Source organism: Homo sapiens, chromosome 9, assembly GCF_000001405.40.
Source record: "Homo sapiens chromosome 9, GRCh38.p14 Primary Assembly".
In the NCBI taxonomy this organism is placed as follows: Eukaryota; Metazoa; Chordata; class Mammalia; order Primates; family Hominidae; genus Homo; species Homo sapiens.
Window position 1 is genome coordinate 80,774,335 of NC_000009.12, and position 27,928 is coordinate 80,802,262.

Consider the following 27,928-nt stretch of genomic DNA (forward strand, 5'->3'; position numbering starts at 1 on the left):
GTGTCTACAAAAAATTTTTAAAAATATGTCCAGGTATGATAGTGCATGCCTGCAGTTCCCACTACTTGGGAGGCCAAGGCAGAAGAATCATTTGAGCCCAGGTATTTGAGGCCACAGTGAGCTATGATCACACCACTGCCTGGGTGACAGAGTGAGACACTGTCTCTAAAAAAAAAAAATAGAAGAGGAAGGAGTGATGGTTTTAATGCTGGACTATTTTAAAATATGTATAACTGTGTTATTATATACAGTTAACCATAAATAATTCTTACAACAACAAATATAAGCAAAAATATGACTATGTCCACAATCTTTTCCTCTTCCATATACATTCATGACATTTCCCTTTGTGTTTCTTTTGTACTTAAAAATGCAAAATTAAATTACACTCTCTTGATATTTCTGGCTGTTATCAGAGAATAGATAAAATGCAAACAAGAAGAATTGATTGTAGAGACTACTCATTCATAAAACTAAATTGCAAAAGTCTTTGGTCATTTATGTTTTATTTTTGAAAGAGAATTTGGTAATATATCTGTGAAAGTCTCTGCCTCAGACAGGGAAACTTAGAAAAAAATCCTATAAAATGGCATAAATTAAAATTTTGGTGGAATAAATCTGATTCTATTCAGCTATTTAAATCAATTTCCCCACTCCTGGCTAACCCTCTCCAATCCCACCTTCACAAACACAGCTTAGAACAGAATTCGACATTTCTCGAAGGTAGGCAAAGAAAAATAAATTAATTTTAATTAATGACTTTTAAGTTAAGATTAATTTTGGACCCATTAAACTTCCAATAAAATATAATAGCATTTCGTATCTTCTATGCTCCTTACATAATACATAATTTTTCTATAATAAGAGAATACACTCATTACCATGTTGTTAAAGAAGCTAGTGGCCTGGGCTGGGAATAGAAGATGTGAGATTTGGTGCAGTCTATGATACCCACTAACTATCTGACCTTGGGAAAGAAGGCATATGGCCCTCAGTTTTGTCATCTAAAAATCATAATTGAATCATTTCCAAAGATATTTCCAGTTCTGAAAGCTTATAATGTGACATATGTTTTTGATACTTTTAACCGTTCACACAAATTTACTATGTTTTTGTACTGGATCATTACTTCCCTCCATGCTAGATTCTTGTTCAGAAAAACAAAGCTCATTTATATTATAGCAGTTTCCTCAGGGAGGCTATGATTTGCTCTGTAATAATTTGATTTATAGTGCAATTTTCACTTACACACTTAAGTGAAGTGGTTGGGCAATCCATGAGAAGCGCTCTCAGATTACCTTATCTAAGACTTAAGACCAGACACCCAGGCAGACTGGGGTTAGTTGTGTGGTAGAGGAGGCCTAGGAACCAGGAGATCACTTAGGTGACTAATGAAAAACAGCAAAGGATTTAGGCAACTTTATTTGTCTAAAATTAGTAGAGCAAGGATATGTTCTAATGTCAGAACAGGTCAACACACAAAAATGCAGGATTAAGGAAAGAGAGATTCCAGTAAGGATCAAAATCTGTGATAGACATGTTACGAAGCCCTAATAATAACAAGTGTTGGCAAAATTTTTCTGTAAAGAGTCAGATACCAAATATTTTAGGACATACAGTCTTTGTTATAACTACTCAATTCTGCAGCTGTAGTGCAAAAACAGCCATAGATTATATGTAAATGAATAAGCATGACTGTATTCCAATAAAACTTCATTTATGTACACTGACATTTGAATTTTGTATAATTTTCACATGTTACAAAATATTCTTTTTTTGATCTTTTCAACCATTTAAAAAGGTAAAACCTATTTTTAGTTGGCAGGCCATATAAAACCAGATGGTGGGCCAGATTTGGCCTGTGGGCTGTTGTTTGCCAACCCCTCATAATAATATAACAGTCAAATTGAGGACTTTTGAAATATGAATGAGCTTGTAATATGTTAATTTTAGTAAATTAAAATCAGCAAATGTATTATTTGAACACATTTCATTTTCTTAAAACTTTCTCTTGCAATAGTGTTTGCATTCTTCATTAACTTGATAATAATATCTACTACTTATGGCTTATTTACAGTAAGCTCAATAATAAACTTACAATAAGTTTAATACAAGAAGCATTATGTTCCAGTTATAATCATCAATGTTATTTTACAGATTCTTACGATTATTTTCTGAGCAATATTTGCATTTTATATGTGAAAAAATAAAGTGATCAAATAAATAATTAATATTTCCAGTATTTCATATCTAGACTGTCAAATCAAAAGCCTGTTCTGTTAACCATTCTACTACACAGACGCAGATATCATTTTTTCCTTTAAAAACACACAGGAAAACTTTGTTCATATTCACATTAGCTGAAATTCTGAGTTGATAATGAGACCTAATCTTGTATTTAATTGTCAATATTTTTGTTTTCAGGAAATGTTTTTCTAGTATTTATATGCCAATATAAAAATCATGAAAAGAAAAACTACACACTTAAAATAGAAGTAAAGGCTGGGCGCGGTGGCTCACGCCTGTAATCCCAGCATTTCAGGAGGCCAAGGCGAGTGGATCATGAGGTCAGGAGATCGAGACTATCCTGGCTAACACGGTGAAACCCCATCTCTACTAAAATACAAAAAAAGAAAAAAAAAAAGAAGTAAATACTGAGGCATTTTAAGGCCATAATGAAGCACAAAATCATTTTATGAATATTTCCAGGGTCAACCTTTTTTAACAATCACATCTCTATTTAATTCAATCATAATGTTTTGAAGAATCTTAGTAAATTTAACAAAAAATTAATAGTTCATTTACCTACTCGTTCAATTAGCAAATTTATTAAACATTTGCATATGCCAACCAGTATACTCTGCTTGGAAATATAACGTTGAGAAAGAGAGATCCTTTCTGTCTTCAACCTAGTGGAGCAGAAAAGATACTTATTAAAATAGCCACATTTTGTGCATACTGTAAAGAAAAGATAAAGGATGTCATGGGTTTGTTACATGGAGCATCTGTTGTAGGATGAGGTTCAGGAGAGACTTTTGAGCTGAGATCTAGCAAGGCAAACATACTAGCACATGGGGCAGAGGCCAGAGCTCGGTGCAGCACTAAGGCTGCAGACCACATAGTACTATTTTTAAGCCCCTAATGCCAGATTGCCTGAAAGGAGAGAGTGAGATGGATAGTGGCCCAACCTCAGGCCATGGTGAAAGGCAAGGTGAGATCAGGCAAATGTAAAGGGCTAGTGGAAGATTTAACCTTTATCCTAGAAGTCATGGAAGAGTTTTAAGCAGAAAAATTAGATTATCTGATTTTCCTTTTAATCATATGGATCCTAGGATATAATGGAAACAGAAATGATCTGGGGAGCTCAAGAAAAAGGCCATTGTAATGATCCATGTGAGTGCAGTTAGACAGTGTTTTAAACTAGGTTGTGTTGAGGAGACAAAAAATAGTAGACAGATTCATGAAATATGTTGAAAGCAAATACATTTGGACAGTTGATTTCTTTACATTCTTTGGATCTCAGTTTAAATAATATGTAAAAAGGCCATTTCTGACTATTCTATCCTATTCATGTTCTCTAAGACATTCTTCTTTTATATTACATGTCATAAAAATTTGATTATTTCTTTATTAGCTCATTCACTTCTGAAAGCCCTATTAGAGATGAGACTATGTCATTTTTGCTCACTACTGTTTCTATCATAATACTGTGCTTGATATGGAGCAGCACTCTATATATATTTGTGAGACAGTGAAAAAATAAACTGAGTTTTATGAGCAACTACATTGAAACATATGGCCTTAAACTGTGTTTGGAGAAATAAAAAGCAGGGGCACTATTTGGATAGTGGTTTGATGACATGTATCCATTACTCTTTGCCATGAAATACAAGTAAAATCATCATAAATGTATATTTTTATATTTTTTAAAATTAAACTTAAATAAACTGTGTTTATCCATACTGTGTTATACTAATCAGTTATGAAGTACTTTAGTATTTATACTAAATATAATGAAATACTTATGAAATATTTATGTAATAAAATGAAATACTTAGATAATAAAATGAAATAAATACTTATATAATATGAAATACTTATGTGACAAAATGAAATATTTAAGTATAAAATGAAATGCTAAAGAATTTCACTAAAGTATTTCATTTTATACTTAAGTATTTCATTTTATTACGGATTAGTATAACATGGTATGGATAAACACAGGTTATTTAACCATTTATCAATTGAAAGACATCTGCGTTATTTTAAGTTTTTGGCTATTACTAAAAAAAAGCTTATATAAATATTCACATACAAGTTATTATATGAAGATAAGTCTTCGTTTCTCTGAAATAAATATTTCTAGGAGTGAAATTGCTGAGTGACATGTTAGTTACATGTTAGTTTGTTTTTAAAAAATTGCCAAAGTGTTCTTCAGAGAGGCTTTACCATTTACATTCCAATCAAAAATAAATGAATGACCTAGTTTCTCTCCATTCTCACCCAACATTTTCTTTCATCACTTTGTTTTTAAACAATTTTTTAGACATTCTAATAGGTGTGCAGTTATATCTCATTGTGGCTTCAATTTACAATTATCTAATAAGTAATGAAGTTGAAAATCTTTTCATGTGCTTATGTACTTATTCACTATACCTTCTACAGTGAAATATCTGTTCATGTCTTTTGCCTGTATTCTAAAAGGATTATTTTGTTTTTTTGTTTGTTTTTTTTACCGTTGAGTTTTGAGACTTCTTTATATATTTTGATCTAAGACTTTTTTCAGATACACCATATGCGAATATTTTCTTCCAGTCAGTGTTTGTCTTTTTTTCGCATAACAAATTTATAAATTTTAAAGTCTGATATGAGTTTGGTGTGTCCCCACCCAAATCTCATCTTGAATTCCCACGTGTTATGAGAGGGACCCGGTAGGAGGTAATTGAATCAAGGGGGCAAGTCTTTCCTGTCCTGTTCTCATGATAGTCAATGAATCTGATGAGGTCTAATGGTTATAAAAAGGGGAGTTTCCATCCACAAGGGCTCCTCTCTTTGCCTGCCGCCATCCACATAAGATGAGACTTGCTCCTTGTCTTCCGCCATGATTGTGAGGCTTCCCCAGCCACGTGGAACTATAAGTCCTATTAAGTATCTTTCCTTTGTAAATTACCCAGTCTCACAAATGTCTTTACCAGCAGCATGAAAACGGACTAACACAAAGTCAAATTTATTATTTTTTTCTTTTTATCAATCATGCTTTTCATGTGAGCTCTAAGAACTGTGATCCAAAAGATTTATCCTATTTTTTTCTAAAAGTTTTAGTTTATCTTTTGCATATAATCCATAATCCATTTTGAGTTAACTTTTAAATAAAGTGAGGTTTAAGTTTATTTTCTATTTAATTTTTTGGCTCTATGAATGTCTAATTGCTCCAGCATCATTTGCAGAAAGGCTATTGTTTTTTCTTTATATTGCTTTTAGACATTTATCAAAAAATCAGTTGGACATGTGTGTGTGGACCTATTTATGGGTTGTCTATTTTGTTCTACTGATCTACATGCCTATGCCTTCACCAGTACTACATAGTCTTGATTACTGTAGCTTTGTAATAAGTTTTAAAAGAGAGTAGGCTAATTCCTCCCACATTTTTCTTCTTTTTCAAAATTGTTTTTGATATTCTAATTACTTTGCCTTTCTGTATACATTCTAGAATAACCCTATATATGCAAAAGCTTGTTGAGATTTCATAAGAATCGCATTAATCTTGTGTATTGATTTGGAAAGATTTGACATCTATGTTCTAATCCATGAAGATAGTATGTATCTCTATTTATTTACATCTTCTTTGATTTTTTACCAGTACTTCATAATTTTCAGCATTAGTCCTACATACTTTTTAGATTTAAAATATCTTTTGAGTTTATTTCCTCAATTGCAAATGGTTTTGTATTTTTACTTATAGTGTTATTAAATTCATTTTCCAGTATACAGAAATAAAATTGATTTTTGTATGTTTACTTTGTATTCTGTGGCATTTCTAAACTCATTTAATAGTTCTAAATGTTTTTTGCAAATTTATTGGGATTATCTATGCAGACAACCATGCTATCTATACACAAGGGCACTTTTATTTCTTCCTATATAATTAATAAGCCTTGTATTAGCTGCATTGTCTTAACTGCATTGGATAGCATTTTTGATGCTAGTAATATATTGTGTAAGAGTGGTCGGTGTTGATATTTTTGCCTTGTTTCCAACAATAGAAAAATGCATTTAGTGTCTCATCATTCAGTACAATGTTAGCTGTAGGGTTTTTTGTTTTTCTGTAGATGTTCTTTATCAGGTTAATTTCCCTTTATTCCTATTTTTAAGAGCATTTTTATCTTTAATGTGCATACAATTTTGTCAAATGATTTTCTGCACCACTTTTTTTTTCTTAAACTGTTAGTATGGTAGATTACGTTGACTGATTCTGGATATTAAATCATCCTTGCGACCCTGGAATAAACTCCATTTGGTCATCATGTATAATTTCTTTTTTATATTGCTTAATTATATTTGCTAATATTCTGTTAAGGATTTTGCAACTATATTTATGAGGAATATTCATCTGTAGTTTTATTTTCTTGTACTGTGTTTGCAAAACTTCCTCTTCTCTTCTATTTTATAAAAGAAATTGTTTAGAATCAGTGTAAATTATTATTTAAACATTTGGTAGAATTCTCCATTGGAACCATGTGGTCCTGGAGATTTAATTTTTGGGGAGTTTTATAATTATGAATTTAATTTGCTTAATGGTTATAGAGCTATTCAAAATTATCAATTTCATATAGTATTAGTTGTGTAAGTTCGTAGTTTTCAAGATATCGGTCCCTTTCATCTAAGTTATCAAATTTGGATGTATAGATTTGTTGGTAGCACTCCCTTAGCTGTTTGTTGTTTGCAGGATTTGTAATGATATCTTGTTTCATTCCTGATATTGGTAATTTGTATCTTCTCTACTTTTTCTTTGTCAGGCTTGCTAAAAGATTGATAATTCTATTTATTTTGTCAATGAACCAACTTGGTTTTCATCAAATTTCTCTGTTGTTTTGGTGTGTCAATTTCACTGCATTCTGCTCTTACCTTTACTATTTGTTCCTTCTGTTTATTTTGCATTTATTTTGCTCTCCCTTTTACAAGTTTTGAAAGAAGAACTTAAGGAAGCTTATGTTATTATTATTTATTATTATTATTATTATACTTTAAGTTTTAGGGTCCATGCGCACAATGTGCAGGTTTGTTACATATGTATACATGTGCCATGTTGGTGTGCTGCACCCACTAACTCATCATTTAACATTAGGTATATCTCCTAATGCTATCCCTCCCCCCTCCCCCCACCCCACAACAGGCCCCAGTGTGTGATGTTCCCCTTCTTGTGTCCATGTGTTCTCAATGTTCAATTCCCACCTATGAGTGAGAACATGCGGTGTTTGGTTTTTTGTCCTTGTGATAGTTTGCTGAGAATGATGGTTTCCAGCTACACCCATGTCCCTACAAAGGACATGAACCCATCATTTTTTATGGCTGCATAGTATTCCATGGTGTATATGTGCCACATTTTCTTAATCCAGTCTACCATTGTTGGACATTTAGCTTGGTTCCAAGTCTTTGCTATTGTGAATAGTGCCGTAATAAACATACGTGTACATGTGTCTTTATAGCAGCATGATTTATAATCCTTTGGGTATATACCCAGTAATGGGATTGCTGGGTCAAATGGTATTTCTAGTTCTAGATCCCTGAGGAATCGCCACACTGACTTCCACAATGGTTGAACTAGTTTACAACAGGTGCTGGAGAGGATGTGGAGAAATAGGAAGCTTATATTATTAATCTGAAAAATGTTTCTGTTTTCTAATATAAGTAAAGTTACAGATTTTCCTCTCAATGCTGCATAAGATGTGTTTTAGATTTTTTTAAATGAGGCAATTATTAACTCAGCATCTTTTATTCTAATGCTTCCTGTTGGCAGTCACCACCTATCCTGCAATTCTGTCCAGATTTCTTTGCACTGAAGTTATTAGTTTGTAGCCCTTGTCTTGGTCCTCTTCCACTATTTTCAGCACTTCCAGGACAAGGACCCAGCATGCCATACTCTTGGATCCTTGGTTGAAGTGTCTGGGCCTGAGGCCATTTCTCAAGATCCCCCATAGATTTTGGTCATGGAGCCGACCCCAGCTCCACCTGGGAGGTACAGATATTGTGCTATGGAAGCTATGTCTACACCTATTGCTATGTGTAGAATCAACTGTCATTATAGGGAGCAAGGTCTTTACGCTTGGCCAGCTTGAACATGTCTTGGGACTTTCAACTTCCAGACTTTTTGGGGAAGGCTGCCAGAGGTCTGAAGAACTCCTGCCAGTTCACATCTTTTACAGTGACTCCAGGTATGGTGTGGCCTCCACACTACCAACCAAAGGAAAAACTGTGTTTCAGAAATTTTGATATGTTGCTTTTTTTAATTCAGTTAAATATATTTTTTATTTCCCTGATACATTCTCCTTTATCCATGGATTATTTAGAAGCATGCTGCCTAATTTCCAAGTGTCTGAAATAGTCCACTTATCTTTTAGTTATTAATTTCTATTTAATTCCATTGTAGTCAGAAAACACACTCTGTGTGATTTCTATTTGTTTAACTTTTTTGAAGTTTATTTTGTGGTCCAAGATATGATCCATCTTGTTATATGTTCTGCAGGCACTTAAAGGAATGTATATTCTGCTATTGTTGAATAGAGTAGTCTATATATGTCCATTAGATTCTATTGTTGAGGATATTGCATTATTCTCTGTTCTTTCCAATTTTCTACCTGCTAGATCTAGCAAGTATTGCCAACATGGTATTCAGTTTCCCAAGTATAATTCTGGGTTCTTAATTTCTCCTTTCAGTGCTATCAATTTTTGTTTAACATATTTTGTATTTCTGTAGTTTGGTGCATGCATGTTTAGCATTGTCATGTCTTCTTGTTGGATTTACCCTTTTATTATTATGTAATATATCTCTCTGTTTCTGGATTTGCTGTGCAAATACAAAATATTCTGTATTTGCTCTGTAATATACTTTAATATGTAATATAGTCACTTTTTGTTTCTTTTGATTAATGTTTGCATGATCTATCTTTTTCATCCTTTTATTTTTAATCTGCCTTTATCTTTATATTTGAAGTTTTTTGTAGATAGCCTAAAATTAAGTCATTTAAAACAGGAATTTAATAAATTTTTGTATTATAGAGTTATCTTAAATTTACAGATTTATCATGAAGACAGAAAAGGAAGTTGATCTATAACCCACCCTCGGTTTTCCCTGCCATTAAAGTCTTATATTGGTATTGCACGTTTGTCACAATTAATGAATCATGATTGATACAGTATTATTAACCAAAGTCCATACATCATTTAGATTTCCTTTATTTTTCGCTAAGGTCTTCTTTTTCTTCTAAGATTGCATCCAGGAAACCGCATTGAATTTAATAGTCATGTCTCCTTAGGCTCCTCTTGTGAGAGTTTCTCAGACTTTCCTTGTTTTTGATGAACTTGACAATTTTAAGGAGTAATGGTCATGTATTTTATAAACTGTTCCTCAATGGAATGTGACTGTTTTCTTCATGATTAGGTTGAGTAATATGTTTTTGGGAGGACCACCATAGATGTAATGTGTCATTTTCACCAGATCACACTAAGGCTCCATGCTATTGACATGATTTGTGATTGTCGATATTAACTTTGATTACCTGACTGAAACAGTGTTTGTGAAGGTTCCCCATTGTAAATTTAGTATTTCTCTCATTTTCATACTGTACCCTTGGGAAGAAACTCACTATTTGCAATCCACAAATAAAAAGTGGGAAGTTATATTCTGCTTGCTGAAGAAGAAAGTATCTACTTTAATTATTTAGAATTTTTTGGATGGGAGATTTGTCTATTCTCTTACATTAATTTACTTATTAAATCATTAAGTTATATCAGTATGGACTCATGATTATTTATTTTGTACTTTGGGGTATGAATCAACACTACTATATTTTTGTTGTTCAAAATATTCCAGTTTTTGGCCATTTGAAGCTCTTTCAGATGGTACTCATATCCCTTTGATAGTTTCCTGTCATTATCTGCAGTTTATTTATTTACTTATTCATTCTTTAAAAATGTCCTTTAATTTTTAGCGGGTTGTTTAAAGTAGACATTTTTTTTTTGTGAGCAGTTTTAGGTTCATAGCAAAAATGAGTAGAAGGTATGAAGAATTCTCACATACCTCCTGACTCTATACTTGAATAGCCTCTTACACTATCAACATCCACCACCAGAGTAGTACATTTGTTATCATTGATGAGCCTACATTGACACATCATTATCACCCAGAGTCTATATAGTTTACATTAGGGTTCACTCCTTTTGCACATTCCATTTCATATTGGCCAAATATATCCACTGTTATGCTATCATACAGAGTGTTTTGTCACTGCCTAACCATCTGTGTTCTGCCTATTCATCCCTCTCCTCTGACCCTGGACTATGACTCCAGTTTTGCTTTTTACAGAATGTCATATAATTGGAATCATGCAGTATGTAGCCTTTTCAAATTGGCTTCTTTCATTAATATGCAGTTAAGTTTCCTCCATGTTTCTTTGTGGTTTGATAGTTCATTTCTTTATAGCACTGAATAATATTCCATTTTCTGAATTTGGCAGTTTCTTTATCCATTCACCTACTGAAGGTCATCTTGGTTGCCTCCATGAGCAATTATAAGTAAAGTTGCCATAAACATCTCTGTACATGTTTTTGCACAGTAGTTTCTTTTTAAAAAACACTTTTATTTTCTGGCACTATAGGTCATGCATTTTAATCTACTTTGCCAATTCCTGTTTCTCGGTTCATAAATTTAGACCATTTTTATTTAATTTCATTATTGATATATTACACTTAAATATGCCATTTTTTTTCTGTTTTTCTCTCTTGTTTGTTTCTATTTTCTTTTTCCTGCCTGTAGGTATGACATTATATATCTATAAGTAATTACAATCTAGTAATATGACATTTTACTATTTCAAGTGAAATATAGAGATCTTATCTCCCTTTATGTTCTGTTACCCTCTCCCATTTATAATCTAATTATATTAAATATTTTCTGTATGTCCATTTATAATTAGATTAAACATTATGATTTTTGCTTCTATTATAAACTATAATTTAGAAAACTCAAGGAGACCAGAATCTACAAAGAACTTAAACAAATTTACAAGGAAAAAACAACCCCATCAAAAAGTGGGCAAAGGATATGAACAGACACTTCTAAAAAGAAGACATTTATGAGGACAACAAACATATGAAAAAAAGCTCATCATCACTGGTCATTAGAGAAATGCAAATCAAAACCACAGTGAGATACCATCTCATGCCAGTTAGAATGGCAATCATTAAAAAGTCAGGAAACAACAGATGCTGGAGAGGATGTGGAGAAATAGGAAGGCTTTTACACTGTTGGTGGGAGTGTAAATTAGTTCAACCATTTTGGAAGACAGTGTGGCGATTCCTCAGGGATCTAGAAGCAGAAATACCATTTGACCCAGCAATCCCATTACTGGGTATATACCCAAAGGATTATAAATCATTCTACTATAAAGACATATGCACACCTATGTTTATTGCAGCACTGTTCACAGTAGCAAAAACTTGGAACCAACCCAAATGCCCATCAATGATAGACTGGATAAAGAAAATGTGGCACTTATACACCATGGAATACTATGCCACCATAAAAAAGGATGAGTTCATGTCTTTTGCAGGGACATGGATGAAGCTGGAAACCATCATTCTCAGGAAACTAACACAAGAACAGAAAACCAAACACCACATGTTCTCACTCATAAGTGGGAGTTGAACAATGAGAACACCTGGACATAGGGTGGGGAACATCACACACTGGGGCCTGTTGGGGGGTGGGAGGGCTTGGGGAGGGATAGCATTAGGAGAAATACCTAATGTAGATGACAGGTTGATGGGTGCAGCAAACCACCATGGCATGTGTATACCTATGTAACAAACCTGCACGATCTGCACATGTATCCCAGAACTTAAAGTATAATGAAATAAATAACTGAAAGTAAGCATTCACAACGCAAGAACAGGAGGACATTTTTAACAATATAAATTATAATGAATTTTAAGAAAAAAATCAAAGCACCATCAACAGAAGAATCATCAGAGTAAAATAAGAAAATCATAGAAATTAAAAATCTTCCAATTCAAAAATTTGGAAGTTAAAAGTTGACGAAGTCTCTCAATAAGTAGACGAAATAACAAAGAGATAAAATTTAGAAACGTTAAGAAGTTAAATTATTCATCTAGAAGGTCCAACATTCACTTAACTGGAGTCCTAGTAAATGAGAACAAAGGAAACAGGGAAAAGGCGGTTATCAAAGACATAGGTACATTTTTTTTCAAATGGAAAAATATATGTTTTCATTTTTAAAGCAACTGACTACTCAGTAAAATTAATTGAAAAAAATTAAATGGGTATCACTGATAAATTCCAGAATGTCAGGGGAAAAGAGAAAATCTTTTATTCATAGAAACAGAATTAGAATGAGAAAATATTTCTAAAATATATTTAGTATGGAATTCAATCTTAATATCTCCAGTGAGATGGCAAGATAATATATGATTTATGTTTTCAAATACCCACAGTCAACTTGAATTATAATCCTTGGTTACTGAAATTATGTGCAGGTATAATTAATGGAAATTTTAGTAATTTTTGGAAGTCAGATATCCCAAAGGAACAAAAGTCTGAGGCTCTGAGTTTTCATGCAGCTAGTTTTTTGGGGAGTTCTCTGATGAGCAACACCAATGAAGAGTGAAGAAAGCAGGATTAAACACAGGAGAAACTGAACTGTAATCATGCAGTTCTAACAGAGGTCTCACAACTCTCAGCGGCAACAGTGGTTGGGATGGCTATTCAGAGATTTCTCAATTGTGGCAACAATGTGGGGCTTTTTTTAACTCTCCCTGTCCCCAACAACTAATTATTATATGACAGCTTTCATCAGGGAATGGAGTTTAACTTTTGGGATAGGATGATTTCCTTGGCTGAAAAAATTGCTTGGAGACTGACTCAGCTGGGAGCAATCAGCAACCAACAGTCTCGAACCTGGGGAAATGAGTGCCTTAGTCACAAAGGACATCTGTGTCACAAAACACAGCATCCACTACAGTTCACCCCAGCACTGCTCAGATCTATTTGTTCCATATAATAAGTTCACTCCAATTGGAAAAAGCTTCTCCATGATTCTTGTTAGTCTCTTTTTCTAGAAATTATAAAAGAGAAAAGGTAGTAAAACAAATGGCAGTCCCTACTACAATAGTTGGTCTCAGATTATCATAGGTGCTCATCATCTTCCTCCTCTAGTACCCATTTGAAATTGCCCACATCCTCAGTTAGTAACTGAACTGGTATTACTGGTTTATCAAGTCAGGTTAACACACTTTTATCTGTGAGGGTTCTGAGCCTCTGGTTACCATGTTCTTCTCACACTGCTGTGGCTGTTATTGTCCATGTATTGTCATGATTGAGTGAGAGAGTAATAAGAGACACTGCGGTTGTCAACTGTTTTCTACCTTGCCTTCATTGTGTAACCACAGTCCTACCTCTTACCACTCCCAGTATGATAACTCTGCTTTTGACTGCTAGGGTATGATGTGACTTGACCTTATTTATTGGGTCTCATGGTCAGGGTGAGAAATAAAATGCTCAGGAGAAAACATGTTGTCTGGCATTTAAAAGTTAGGAACCAATATTTTAATTCTCCCCATTAAAATCAATTAATTCAGTGCAGTTACAAACAAGAGCCCTGAAGGGTTTTGCTTTTGTTTTTGATGAAATTTAACAAACTGATCCAGAAATTTATGTATAAGAACAAGGGGAAGGTCAAGTAATTTGTAAGATGAAAATTTTCAAGGTGAATAATACAGGCTGGGTTCCTCCCTCTTAGATATTAAGACTTCCTGTAATCCCAGCACTTTGGGAGGCAGAGGTGGGTGGATCATGAGGTCAGGAGATCGAGACCATCCTGGCTAATATGGTGAAACGCCATCTCTACTAAAAATACGAAAAATCAGCTGGGCATGGTGGCAAGCGCCTGTAGTCCCAGCTACTCAGGAGGCTGAGGCGGGAGAATGGCATGAACCCGGGAGGCGGAGCTTGCAGTGAGCCGAGATCGCGTCACTACACTCCAGCCTGGGCGATACAGCGAGACTCCGTCTCAAAAAATATATATATATATTTTTCTGTATTTTAAAAATTATTTTGTAGTGAAAAAGGGAAAATGTACCTAAGGAAAACAAAAATCAGATGATAAATAAAGATCAGAAGAGGGAAGATCCATCATTGCTGTGATTATATGAAATCTGAAGCTGCATTATTATAAAAATAGATAAATCCAATAAAATACCTTCACAGCATTTTCAGTCATAGCATAATCTGTGGTATTATGTTTAGTTATTAATTCTATATTTTAAAAGATATTCTGAAATTCTGAAGATTATGTAAACTCAAATGACCAGTGAGTGATATGAAAATCACACTTAAAACAGCAATAGCTGAGAAAAATGTGGACATTTAGCTTGGACAAAAAAGGACTTTTCAGGAATGGTTTGAGTCACGTATTTTAAGGGTTGTCATGTGGAAGATGATGTTTATGTTCTTTAAGTCTCTAAAATGTTGACTTAGAAAAAAGACGGATGGGAATTTGGACACAATAGATTTGAGCTCTATATTAGAAGAGTGGAGAGAAAAGGATCTGGGATTCAGAATTGTACACACAATGAAACAGTCTGCATTACAAAGAGTATTAGCTTTTCATCACTGGAAGTGTTAGTTACAGAAGTTTGCAAAGAGCATTCCTATACGATTGGAGACTGCCACAACCTGAATAGCAACTAAGGTTTTTTTCTAGCTGAGGACTCTATTATTTATATACTAGGACTCAATTATTCATATTAAATTGAAGTAAAAAATAAATACTGTTTTCCAAGTCTCACAGTATCTCTTTGAAAGAGGAAATCTGGGTAATCTACTTGCCTTCAGGGCACCAATTCTTAATAGCATTTCCAAATATTCCAGCAGGGGCAGCAGGCATCTTTAAATGCCAGAGATTCTTGGGACCCCAAGCAACCCTGGACACCCATTGATAAAAGCAAATTCAATACTTGATCAAAGTCTTGGTCCTGGGCTGTTTGGTTTGATATGAGATACATGGCAACCCTTGTAAAACTTCAAAGCTATTAATTTATCACAAACCTATAAATCAAAAATTTATATAGAGAGATTGTAATGAAGGCCATTTTTCTAATTCTGCCAATTACCTGAAACAAAGAGCCCATTTCTCTGGGAAGCTCAGGTACAGTTTGATGCTGCAGTCAGTCACCAATGATCTGTTTGTTTGCAGGTGGTGACTGCTGCCTTCACATTTTCCTGTGAGGGGTTAGGAAAAGATTTCCAAAATGCTCTTTGCTTCACCACCATTTTAAAAACAATTACAGTGAGGGCGCCTGGGATGGAGTTTCCAGGACACCATTTCACGGATCGTTGCTCCAGTCCACTTATTTGTACAAGAGCAGTATTCTTGTTTTCCATCTCTCCTCACTGTGGGATTCCAGCTTTTGTGCCAAATATGAACCATTCTTGCTCTGAGCACCAGAAATACCCAGGATCTTCCAATTTACTGTGGTTGCTGGCCTCTGCAAGATAGTAAACCACACTTGAATTGTTAAGATCATTATACTGAATATCTTCTTCCTTTTTTAGTCCCGTTAAAAAAAAAATGAGCGAGGGAGAAAGAAACACAGAAGGCAAAGAATTGTAGAATGCTTTTCAAAGCCAATAACTTTTCACCATGCTTCTGTATTTCTGTTAGCATGGAACCAACTTTCTTTCACAATTACTTTGTTATTGTCCTGTCTAATATGGTAGCCACTAACTAACAGGTATGGTTATTGAGTACATGAAATGTTGCTATTGTGATTGAAGAACTGAATTTTTAATTAAATGAGATGTGCTAAAAGTGTAAAATACAGTGAATCTCAAAAACTAAGAAAAAATGTAATACTTCTCAAATATTTAAATATATAAATATATTAAAAGTATATTCAGATACATTTTGATAAACAAAATATATTATTAAAATAATCTCATCTTTTTCTTTTTACTTTTTAGTGTGGCTAGTAGAAAATTTAAAATTACTTATGTGTCTCATTTTGATTGGACAGTGCTGCCTATAAATTGAGTCTCTCTCTCTTGCTTTCTGTCTCTTTCCCTGGATTTGTGATAGTCCTGTAACTAATTCTCTTAGTGGTTAAGATGGTGGGAGATCGGCAATAGGACCAAGTGCATAGTATGCAGGCCTTAGTGCAGAATGAAAATGTGGAGCCCTTGATAAAAATTTAGAATTTTAATAAGGCTATAGAGGAACATTAAAACAAGTGTGGGGCTGTTATATATGTGAAGCCCTATGAGATTGCACAGATCTAACACCCATAAAGTTGGAGCTGATTGGTAACTGCCAATTTGAGAACTACTGAGCCAGAACATGAGAGTCACTAAGGGCTATTACTCCAGGGACCTTCTAAAAAGAAAATGAAAAGTTTGAAATATTTGTTACTTTACCTGTCATTTCCCAGTTCTCAATTTAGACCACAAAACTCAGATTCATCTCAAGTCAGCAAGTAAAACAGCAATAATAGATGGCTAGAAATAAAGCTTCAAAAATTACTCTGAAACTCTTGATAACATTTATGCTTTAAAATTGCAATTTTAAGTTTTCTTGCAGATATTTTATTATATAGAGCATCAGAGACTTGGTTGTCAGCTTATATTAAGTGCTTTTGAATGGCAGAATTCAAACAAGAAAATAACTTTAAAAAGCCTGTCTATACGAGGTAGTTAAGAAGAAGATAATAATTATCTGTAATGCTGAGGAAGTATTTGTTTAACACAAATGATAAAAGGGCTTGGGTTCTGAAATCTGTAGACCAGCTAAGTTTACCTTATATTTGTGAAAATGCATTGGTGGTTGTGTTTTAAATCAAAGAGACAACTGTTGCACAGTGTTGGTGACAAGGCATCTTGTCTGAGCTTTACTACAGCAACATAACATCCAGGGCTTCCTTCAGTTTGAACTTTTACTGACTCTGTGAACTTAAAAGAAGTCATATTGTGCCCCTCTCTTAAGATTAATTTATTCAGTGATAAGGTGAGTGATGGTAAGCCAGGTACCTATCCAATCACAGTAAATACTAAGTTCCAGTACAAACTGAGCAACAGATCATATTTCAGAGTGCTGGAGCTGGAGCACAGGAATATTGCTATAGAGAGGGAAAATTCCCAAATGTAAATCTTTGTGTGATGTGACTAAAAATATGGGGAGAATATGTATTAAATATATGAATAAATTAATAAAATGAAATTGATTAAAGAAGAATAAAGGCAGTTATTTTTTCCAGAAACCCTACATCTGGTGTGATTAGACCGTAGTGAGTTCTTCAGAGCTCAAAGCTTCCACCTATGAATATTTTCTTCAATAAACATTTTTTCCTTTGCCTCACTGGTTGCCAATAGAAACATCTGCCTGGAGGACTCAGTTTAGCCAAGTCTCTCTCGTTTTTTTTTTCTTTACAAGTCTTGAAAGAATATTTTGGCCTTCTTTCCTCTGATTAGTTTCCAAAATAGCAGTGGGAATTTAAATTATAATCAACTTTTATCCAGTTCCTGCTAAATTCATCAAGAAAAGACTTAGAATATGAATCAGGTACAATTGTTGGGTTTCCTTGAACTTCACTAACCATCCATTCATTCCTCAAGGAAGACAAAAGCTCATTTCTCCAAAAAATGAGTGTTGAATTGAATTCTATTTTTTTGTCCAGAATTTTTTTTCCTTTATCAGTCTCACTTGTCTGGACTGTGCTTAACTAAATAAAACAATACATCTTTACACCAAATTCCACAATGTGGTTTGCTAAAGTATGTCTTTTCTTCCTCCACCACCCTGCCTCTTACTTAAACTTCATTTACTTTGACCCCAAAGTGTCTAGAATCAATATATTTGTACAAAGTTAGCTGGTTTTGGGGATGATTCTCTATCTTGCCATTTTTACATGAGAGCAAGTTAGCTTAAAAACGTGGAGGCAAACCAACAGATGATATCAACAATTTCCTCCTGCTGCTACAAATAGGATGTTAACCTATTTTTAAAATAGATTTATTTTTAAAATTTTGTTTTCAAAATAGATTTATTTTAAAAATTTTATTTTCATAATAGTTGAACATCATCCTATTTAGTAGTTTAAAATCTTAAAATGTTTTGTTTTTTTTTTTCTATTTTCCTACAATGAATAAAAATCACACATAAAGTTTAGCTAGAGAAATAACTCATCCAATGACTACAAGAGGCCCATGTTGCCTTTATTCTGAAGCTACTGATACTGGGAATTTGTAGAGTTTTGCCTAGAACATTCTGACTTCCCAAGCCACATCACAGAGATATCAGGCAACGGAGAGCAGTGCCATCTGTCAGTCCCTGGAGCCATCATCAAATAGGAGCTATGCAAGCCCAAGAGTTTTTGGCTGGAATAGGGGAAGTTCACAGAAACAGATTTTTCTTCATTTTTGTTCTCATGTTTTCGAACTCAGGAATCTTCAAAGGAAATGGAAGAAAGCATGAAACCGTGCACAATGAAATGATGAAAAATTCTGGCCAGCACACAGAAATCAAGTTATCACATGGATGGGAAAGTTTTCTAATATGAGCACTATCTTCTGTTTTGTTTCTCTCCCCAGCATTTCCTGCTGCCTTCAGTTGACAACCCTATTTACATCGCTTCTGAGAAGCTCAAGCTCAAAAAGACTGTTACGGAGACTTAGAAATTATGGTAAGGTTCTGGTGCCTTTACAAGGCCCTTTAGAGAATCATGGGCAAAAGCAGTAACAGAATAAGAATTAAAGCACCACTTTATTAATATCTGTATTAGAACTCAAAACCACTTACATAGGCCTGCTTGGTATAAGTTGGTTTATAGCAAAGACTTTGAGTTTGAGAACAAATTGTGATTTCATTCCCTTCCTTTCCTACCAACATACTTTCTATTCCTCAAATCTAAATCCTGAGAAGAGGGGTCAGGCTTTAGAGAAAGTTATGGCACAAATTATGAATAATATCTGTAAAGTAGATTTGGGAAAAAGAACACATAAGCTTGACCCAGTAGATCTGTTTATTCTATTGACTTAGAAAATGGAAATCTCATGAGACAGGATGGATGGGACCTAGATTTAGATTGTTCCAGAAACTTTACCATGCCCACATGATTGGTAGCCAAACTCAATAGGAACCATAACAATAGCAACCCACCTTTCCAGGGTGGGTGGGAAAACTAGATAAATAGGTGAGCATATGAGTAACTAGCTGGCAAGGGGCAAGAACATTCATTATTTAACATATGCCACTCTAAAGATTGGCAAGATGTGGTGGTAGAATGGCTAATCTCCAAAAACTAACTAGCAAGATGCCAAATGCACCCTGACAGATATATTCTGACAAATAAGATATCTCAATATGAAGTATTTGTGGTTTCAGCTTTCTTTTGAAGAGAGATCTGCAAAGGAATCACTATGCTCCAAAAGCATTAATTACCTATGAGAAAAACTGATTGCAAAAATGGTTAAATACTCCTCCTATATATAGGAGGAGTACTAGATACTAGATACTGCATAGGAGTACTAGATACTAGATACTAGACAGGAGTACTAGATACTCCTCCTAGATACAGGAGGAGTAGAGAATTTAATCATTTGGGCTAGCCATGTGTCATACATTGGCCAATAGGAAGAAGAAGAAGACACGGCGTGTCAGTTTCAGCTTGCCCTCAATAGGCCTTTTACGTCCCCATTCATTCTATTAGAACTCTGCCACCCTCACGAAAACAAACCCATGCTAGCCTGGTGGAGTATGAGGAACTATGAAAAGAGCTGAGTCATTCCAAGTAAAGCCTTATATATTATGCCAGCCAGTCCATAGCTGGCCCAGAGTAGACCAGTGATAAACGAGCAAGCCCAGCTGAAATCAGCAAAGCCAAGCCCTGGATGATGTAGATGATCCATAGACTTTACAACAAAAATAAATGTTTATTGTTCTATGTCATGGGTATGTGGTTATTATTTAGGCATCATTATTATGGCAAAAGATGACTGAGATAACCAGCCAGAACATTGTTATCACCTAGACAAAGTAAACTAGGATTATATTTAAGATATGTTAAGCCAAGAGCATAGCCCAGACCTTTGGAAAATGATCAAATCTGGAAATTTTATAGATCAGACTACATATATATTGCCATTTCACACATCTTTGACTTTAGCAATGTATATCTCTAGAGACGGGCAGGGATGCTATCCTTCTGTTTATAATATCCTTCTCATTTTTCTTTACATGCATAACTCATTCTTTAAGATTCAGGGCAAGATGTTAGCTCCTCCAGGAAATGGATGCTGAACTTACACTGAGTTTCCTGGGCATATCTTTATTTTAGCTCTCAAAAGTGTACCGTAAGTAGAATCAATGTATTCACTTCTTTATCTCCCCTTCTTCTTCAGCCCACTTCAATCTGGCTTCAATCAACAGTCTTTGGAATTAGCTCTCAAAAGAAACTGTAATTATGAACAGCACCCATTCAAGGAACATTTATAAGTCCTTATCTCACTTGACTGCCTTGCACACTTAGAAACAACTGAACAATCTTCTGGAAGCATCTTTTTTTGTGTGTGGTAGTCATATACAATTATAACTTAGCTTTACTTCTGTGAATTTTTAAAATCTCTGTCTTTCCCTATGTCCTACTAAAGTGTAAAGTCAATGAGGGCAGAGATCCTGTCTTCTTTTTTTTATGAGGGCATACTCAGGGCCTAATACAGTGAGTGCCTGGCACAGAGTAGGTGCTCAATAAATACCTCTGCATGAGTGAATGCAAGTATCACTTACCTTATTACATAAAAATCATTTTCCTACATTGATCTTACCCCCACATGGTAAGCTTCCAGATGGCAAGGAAAAGGAATTATTTTGTATTTAGAGTGCCTAGCCCAGGGATTCAATTTTTGTAAGAATAAAAGCTAAAACATATCATTTTCCATAAATGTTTGCATCATTTTAAGACCCTTACATGTGTGATTTAATCTTTCAATGATCTGTGAGATTTAGAATTTCCCCCTATTTTGCAGATAAGGAAAATGAGGCACTAGAAACTTCACAAGTATTTGTTAAACTGAACCATATGCTCTAACGGCAGACATACAGAAAAATGAAGAGGAATAGCTACTAATACTGGGCTGGAAATACCTCAAAGAGGTGGCAAACCCCAACTCTGTCCATGTCTAGGGATACAGTGTGCTAAGTGTGTATTCCCTCCATTCAACTAGTACAGGTCTGTAGAAAACTGTTCTGTGTTCCTGGGCCCTCTACCTGTCTCACAAGAATGTCTATCTACCCTCTACCTGGTCTCACAAGAATGTCTATCTACCCTTTGCTTCCTCATCATAGTCGTCTACGTGGAAATACCCCCTTTGTTCAGCCAGCCCACTGTTCTGATTTATTTCTTCTGCTCCATTACTTTAAGGTCTGCTCATCACATTAACCTAAATCCCTGGTGCAAGTCCTGACACACAAAAATATTCATTCGTTAATGAACACATCACCTCTTAATTTCCTAGACAAAGACTTTCTTGACTATCAAAAAAAAGTAACTCGTCCTTCATATGTTTCATGCTATATTTTGCTCTTTGCTACATGTAAAAGTAAAAATAACAATCTAAACTACAGCATGAATGTGCAATTACATACTGTTTTTCACAGTTTTAATGTTTGTAGTCATGGAATTTGATTTTTGGCCTTAAAACTTCAGAGAACAGAGGTTAAATATAGTTAACCAACTTAAAACCATAGCCTGTGCTTCAAAATGGGCAAAATAAGAAGTGTATTGGTCACTTATTTGACCTGGATGATGATGATGAAAAAATAATAGCTTAGTAAATTGTCCTGCTTGGGAATTACCACAAGATAGAAGATGGAGACTATCAAATGTGAATCCAGAAATTATAGAGTTGGAAATACACCAAGACATTTTGAAAATAATCCTTACTTTTACAGAATGTGCTGTTTGTAGAAAGTTCCTTGATCAGTATGATTTTTTGCTCTATTCTCTGTCTATCGATTCAATATGCGAGTCCATTTAAATTTCCCTTCATCACGTTAAGATCATAGAGGAAATTGCGTACCTCAGGAACCAATTAAAGCTTAACTCACCTTCTTCTGACCGTCCCTCAGCAGCTGTTCCCAGAGAAAGTTGGAGAGAGCTCAAAGAAAAACTGCCTTGGAACAGACTCACCTGGAACTCATAGACTCCATCCGAGTCTGCGCTGCCAGGGGCCTTGGCGTCTGTCTCTGAGTTGTCATTTCATTTAGCCTGAGTGTGGTGTTCTGTACTGGGTGCTAAGGGGAATTTAGGGCATAGATTAGACATAGTATTTACCCTCAGGAATCTCACAGTTTAATGGAGGAAATAAGATAAACACACAGTGAATTAAGAGAAAGTAGATACATATGTACACATAAAAAATATTGATTTAAGTTTGGGAAAGAAGAGGACATAGAGGCAAAGGGTTTAGATGCTAATTAGAAAAGTCTTGCTGATCAGCCTTCACATGAGTCTAAGTGGAAGGAAAATTCTCTGTGTGCTGAAAGAAAAGGGACAGCTGTTCCAGAGAGGGATTTCTTTCTTTTCCCCCACCCCCACAGGGCCTGGATCAGGAGAAGCAACTCTGTACTCACGGACTATAAATCACATCCACATGACTGACCACTTGGGTCAATGGATGATGCCACGGAGATACTTTCCCTTGGCCTTCTAGTAATCTTGGATTAGCCTGGTTAGCATGTATTATTTTCTCTGTTCCTAGCTCTTCACCTGTCAAGTGAGTTAATGTAAAATAGTTTATCTCTTTCATTAAAAACATGATGCTGGTCTGTTTGACAAAAATGCTTATATTACCCACTTTTGAGGAGGAATATGTAATTTATATAGGATGAATCTAATATAATATTTGCTCTCCTAAGGCCTGTATTTTTCCAGAACTGATGGCCAGGACCATGCTTGACTTTTGGCTTAGGATGGCACGCATAGGAAGTAGGCACTTAGGCTTTGCAGGAACGCTGCTACCCTGGGGAATTCCAGACAACATCACCCAAAGAGGTCTGCACAGTTCTGTGTCACATTGCTGCATTCTTATACTCCTCACATTCTGTTGGAATAACATTATCCCATTGAACAAACAAATTAAAACAAAACAAAATAATTTTTTTAAATTTCCAACATTTATGGAGTTAAAATGCTCTCTCTCTCTCCTTTTTTCAATTTAATCAGAGGCTGTTTTTTCTTCCCCCCTTGGTGGGGGGAGCTGGGGGAAAAGAGACAGATGGTATCGTTTGCAAAAGGAAAGCTGAGAAGTTACTCATATATCTTTCAGCTTTGTGGCAAATGTGATGCCAAGATTCTTGCTTGGAGTGTATACTGCAATACAGGCACAGAGGCGTACCAGAAAGGGTGAGGCCAGCGCATGGAGGGCAGTGCAATAAATTGCTGTGGGCTGATCCAACACCAGAACATGTGAGCTATTAAACTTTGGCAGCTATTTTATTTTTCCCTTATGGAGTTTCAGACCTGTCTTGTACACTGAGATAGGTTTCATCTGGTTAAAACTTGTGTCGTATTTAAACTTCCTTCAGATCCATGGAGTTGGAGGGGAAAAAAAAAAAAAAATAAACCTAGCATATCCCATAACACACTGAAATGATGTTGGGGGTGGGAGAGGGGCAGTAATTGTGCCCAGATAATGTTGTCATACTTTGTAAAGCCTTTAATGCTGGAATTTATTTATTAATGATGCATGGGTTATTACCCACCATCTGTCTTGTGTTAGCAGTGGGCTGTTTCAGATTATGGTAATGTGTTTCTGATTTGAGTTGTGTTGAAAGCCAGAACAAGGCATCTCATGTGCAGTCCTCTTTGAGGCCTGCTGTTTTCAATTCCTCTTCACATAAAGGGCTTTTATTTGATTTGTTATGGGGATTTTTTCTTCTGTTGCCAAAACAGCTGCAAGCCTGGAAGGGAATAAGACACAGAGCCACATCAAACTTGTTAGCTTGTAAAAAAAACAGAATGTTCCAGGAACCAGAAAAAAATAGAAGGATGTGGGAGAGTGTATGGAAAGGAGAGGAGAGAGAGAGAAAGAAACTTTAGTAGCCTATTTGGCTTTCATATTTTAAAATGTATACAGATATATTTTGTTACTTAAGTATCATAGGTTAAATTGCATTGTATTTAATTTATTATGCCCATTCACACCAAACAGAATGGCTTTCTTTTCAATTGTTTTAGTAGTCTGTTTGCTAGCACAAAAGCAATAAATAAAAGTCCCCAATGAGCTAGCTGCCCTTCCTTAGGCATCAAAGCAAACACCCAGTTGTTTAAGCTTGATTTTTTAAAATGTACCGAACACATTCATATTTGTGCACAAAGAAAAAAAGGAATAAGTAACAGACATCCTGATCCAGAGTTCTTTGTCTCTGTTTCTCCCTCTCGCATGGCTATGGGTCAGCAAACTTCTAGATCACTGCTACCCAGGAGCAACGTTGATGGAAATGCCCTATGTCTTCTGTCTTCAATATGATAGCCACGAGCTACTTAAGGCTACTGAGCACTTGACATGTGGCCAGAGTAACTACCTACATTTTTAATTTTATATAATTTTAATTAAATACTTACATGTGGCTAATTGTCATTGTCCTAGAGAGTGTAGTTCTAGAATTAACTAAATAAGAGGCTATTTCTTCCCTCTGATATAAAGTAAAAGTCATCGCATATTAGTTATGGCTACAGCTTACTTTTAACCTAAAGAATTTGTTTGAAAGCTTTTTCCCTGATGTATTATTCAAAGTTGCTAGTGCCAAGGCTGTCTCTCAGAAGGCCACTGGCAAGTTCTTTCTTGAACCAAGTGCATAAATACTCTATTGAAATATGGATTTAGGCGAAAACTTAATGCTTCTCGTGACAAATAAACAGCCATAAAGAACTGTAACCAGAGCTTTCAAATAATATCAAATCTTCTAATGCTAAGTATATTCAAGAATTTATTTTAAATTTATTGGCTACAATTCTGTCTATTCATATTGAACAATGACTAATTGTTTTTGGAACATATGGTGTGTTCACAGATATGCTCAAAACCATTTGAAACTGACTTTGTGACCACTGTCCAGATTTTTGTTCATCAATTTTTTTAGAAATTATATTTATTAAAACATAAGCATAATTTGGAGTATCTTTTGTTGTAGATCTTCTTTTTTACAACTTTCCTACTGGTGGAGAAGAGGCTGTAGAGAGATAAGCAGATAAAGAGATATAGCAATCATAAGATATGTGTTTACCATTATCTGGTGCCTTTGCCTCCTAGACACACTAGACTGCATTTCCCAACCACCCTTGCAGGGACCATGCAACTGAGTTCTAGCCAATGGAATATGAGTGGAAATAATGTATTCCATGTCAAGACCTGACATTCATATACTTTCTGCATAACCCTCCTCTTCTTTTATCCGATGCCGAAAATCCAGCAAATAACCCAAGTTTCTAGAAGATAGCCATTAGAGGAAGTGAACCTAGATCCCTGAGTAACAGAGTGAAGCAGAGTCATCTTTCCCAATGATACAAAATTAGACTGTGATTGAAAGAAAGAAATGCATCTTTGTTTTGCTTAAAGTCATTGTGATTTGGAGGATTTTTTTTTTTTTTTTTTTGTAATTTTACCCCTGGCTGATGGAAAATGACATCTTGGAAGAGTAGTCGCAACAGGGAGAACCTCCTGCAGTGTGATCTCTACTAACACTCTGTCCCTTGGCTTTGTTATTTAAAACCCTACTTCTAAGGGTATACCTAGAATTGTTCGTATTCAGGGAGCTGAACTTACATTATCCAAGTAAGAAAGATACTACATGTAAAAAATGCAAGGTCAATTTATTTAATATGTTTATTTAAAATATAGAATTGACACATAGATCAAATTTTAACTAAAACATTCTTTTCATGTAGCAAAGTCAAAGTTGCAAGCCAAATATATGGCTAAGTCAGATGGGCCCTCTCATAGCATCTTCTGCATTGCCATAAAAATGACCGTGGCTTTGTTCATAAGGCTTTGGAGAATTTTTCCTGGTTCCTGGTACCATCCTTCTTCTGGATACTTTTACTCTTCACAGTTCTGCCCCTATAACCTCTCTCCTGCCTGGGCTTACTTTCTCAGACCATCCAACTCAGATTGATGACTCAACTGGGTGGCCTGCTTGGCTTGTTATTTTGAATTCTCCATAATGTCCTGTCCTACTTCTGTATATTGAGGCTGTGGGCTTTTCCTGCCTTGTCCTCCACTGTTCTGAACTCCTAATACATTACAGTCTCAAATCAAAGCCTGTATTTGTGATTCCTTCTCATCTGGACAAGGGTTCAACCTAAATAATAATCAGAAGGTGACTGAGCAGGTATAATGAACTGGCTATTTGTGTCCTTCCAAAATGTATATGTTGAGGCAATAATATCCAATGCCATGGGACTTGCAGATGGAGATTTTGAGAGATCATTACAATTACATGAGGTCTGAGCAAGGGGAGGGAGAACATCAGGGTAAAGAGCTAATGCATGTGGGGCTTAATACCTAGGTGATGGGTTGATAGGTGCAGCAAACCACCATGACATACTTTTACCATGTAATAAACCTATAATTTCTGCACACGTATCTCAGAACTTAAATCAAATTAAAAAAAAAAAAAAGCTACATGAGGTCCTAAGGGTGGTGGGGCCCTCATGATGGGATTAGTGCCCTTATGAGAAGAGTTACCAGAAAGCTTGTTCTCACTCTCCATGCCACACTCCCAAAGAGATTATGTGAGGACACAGTGAGATGGCAGTCACCTACAAGCCAAGATAACAGGCCTCAGAATAAAACCTATCTTGCCAGCACCTTGATCTTGGTCTTTCAGCCTCCAGAACTGTGACAAATTTTTATGGTTTAAGCTACCCAGTCTATGGTATTTTGTTATTGCAAAATGTAAGCTGAGAAATTACATATATATCTTTCATCTTTGTTGCAAATTTGATGCCAAGCAGACTAATGCAGTAGGTGATTAAAGCAAGGAATGATTGTTGGAACCTGCTGGTGAATATTAATAAATTAAATATGTACCATAAGCCAACCAGGATGGAGAGGATCTGTTAGTCATCATTGACTTCTCATTTTACAATATTGTGGACACATTAAATTTGGTTTCAGGATGTCCCCTTTTTTCTGGAAATAATATTAACCACTCCTTTTGTATTAATATTGTTTAAATTTTTACAATCTAAAAATTTAACTTTAAATTTTAGCTTGTAGAATACAGTCTATCCTATCCTGATATCAGTGAAAGAGGACCTGGATTAGGGTTAAATATATTTCAGTTGTTTTGTTTCCAAGATATTGTGGGTAGACCTTATCATCATATCCATGTATTGACTAGGAGAGGCTGTAAAATATATCTTAACTTCAAAGATTCATTGTAAGTCATAACATAGACCCCAAGGTTATTTGAGTTCTCAAAGCCAACTGTTACAGTCAAAATATAAGGTGATATATCTGTTTATACTGAATCAGTAAGTCACGGATACCCAAGGATAATTCTCCAGATACAGTATAAGAAATATTACATTATATTAACCAATGAAATGATTGGGAAAAATTTAGAGGGGAGCAATATGTTAT

The 27,928-nt window shown here is 35.1% G+C and overlaps 1 pseudogene, besides 2 other annotated features; it reads right to left on the reverse strand.

The window, feature by feature from the left end:
• RPS19P6 (ribosomal protein S19 pseudogene 6) lies at positions 7,998-8,436 on the reverse strand (annotated as a pseudogene).
• Positions 23,451-24,723: an enhancer, noted in NCBI's record as "VISTA enhancer hs974". NCBI's record gives its function as "enhancer in: other[4/7]" and the evidence as "EXISTENCE:transgenic organism evidence [ECO:0001131][PMID:17130149]".
• Positions 23,874-24,385: an enhancer, noted in NCBI's record as "NANOG hESC enhancer chr9:83413123-83413634 (GRCh37/hg19 assembly coordinates)". NCBI's record gives its function as "activates a minimal SCP1, AML or CMV promoter by ChIP-STARR-seq in naive H9 embryonic stem cells {active_cell/tissue: H9 hESC(naive)}" and the evidence as "EXISTENCE:reporter gene assay evidence [ECO:0000049][PMID:30033119]".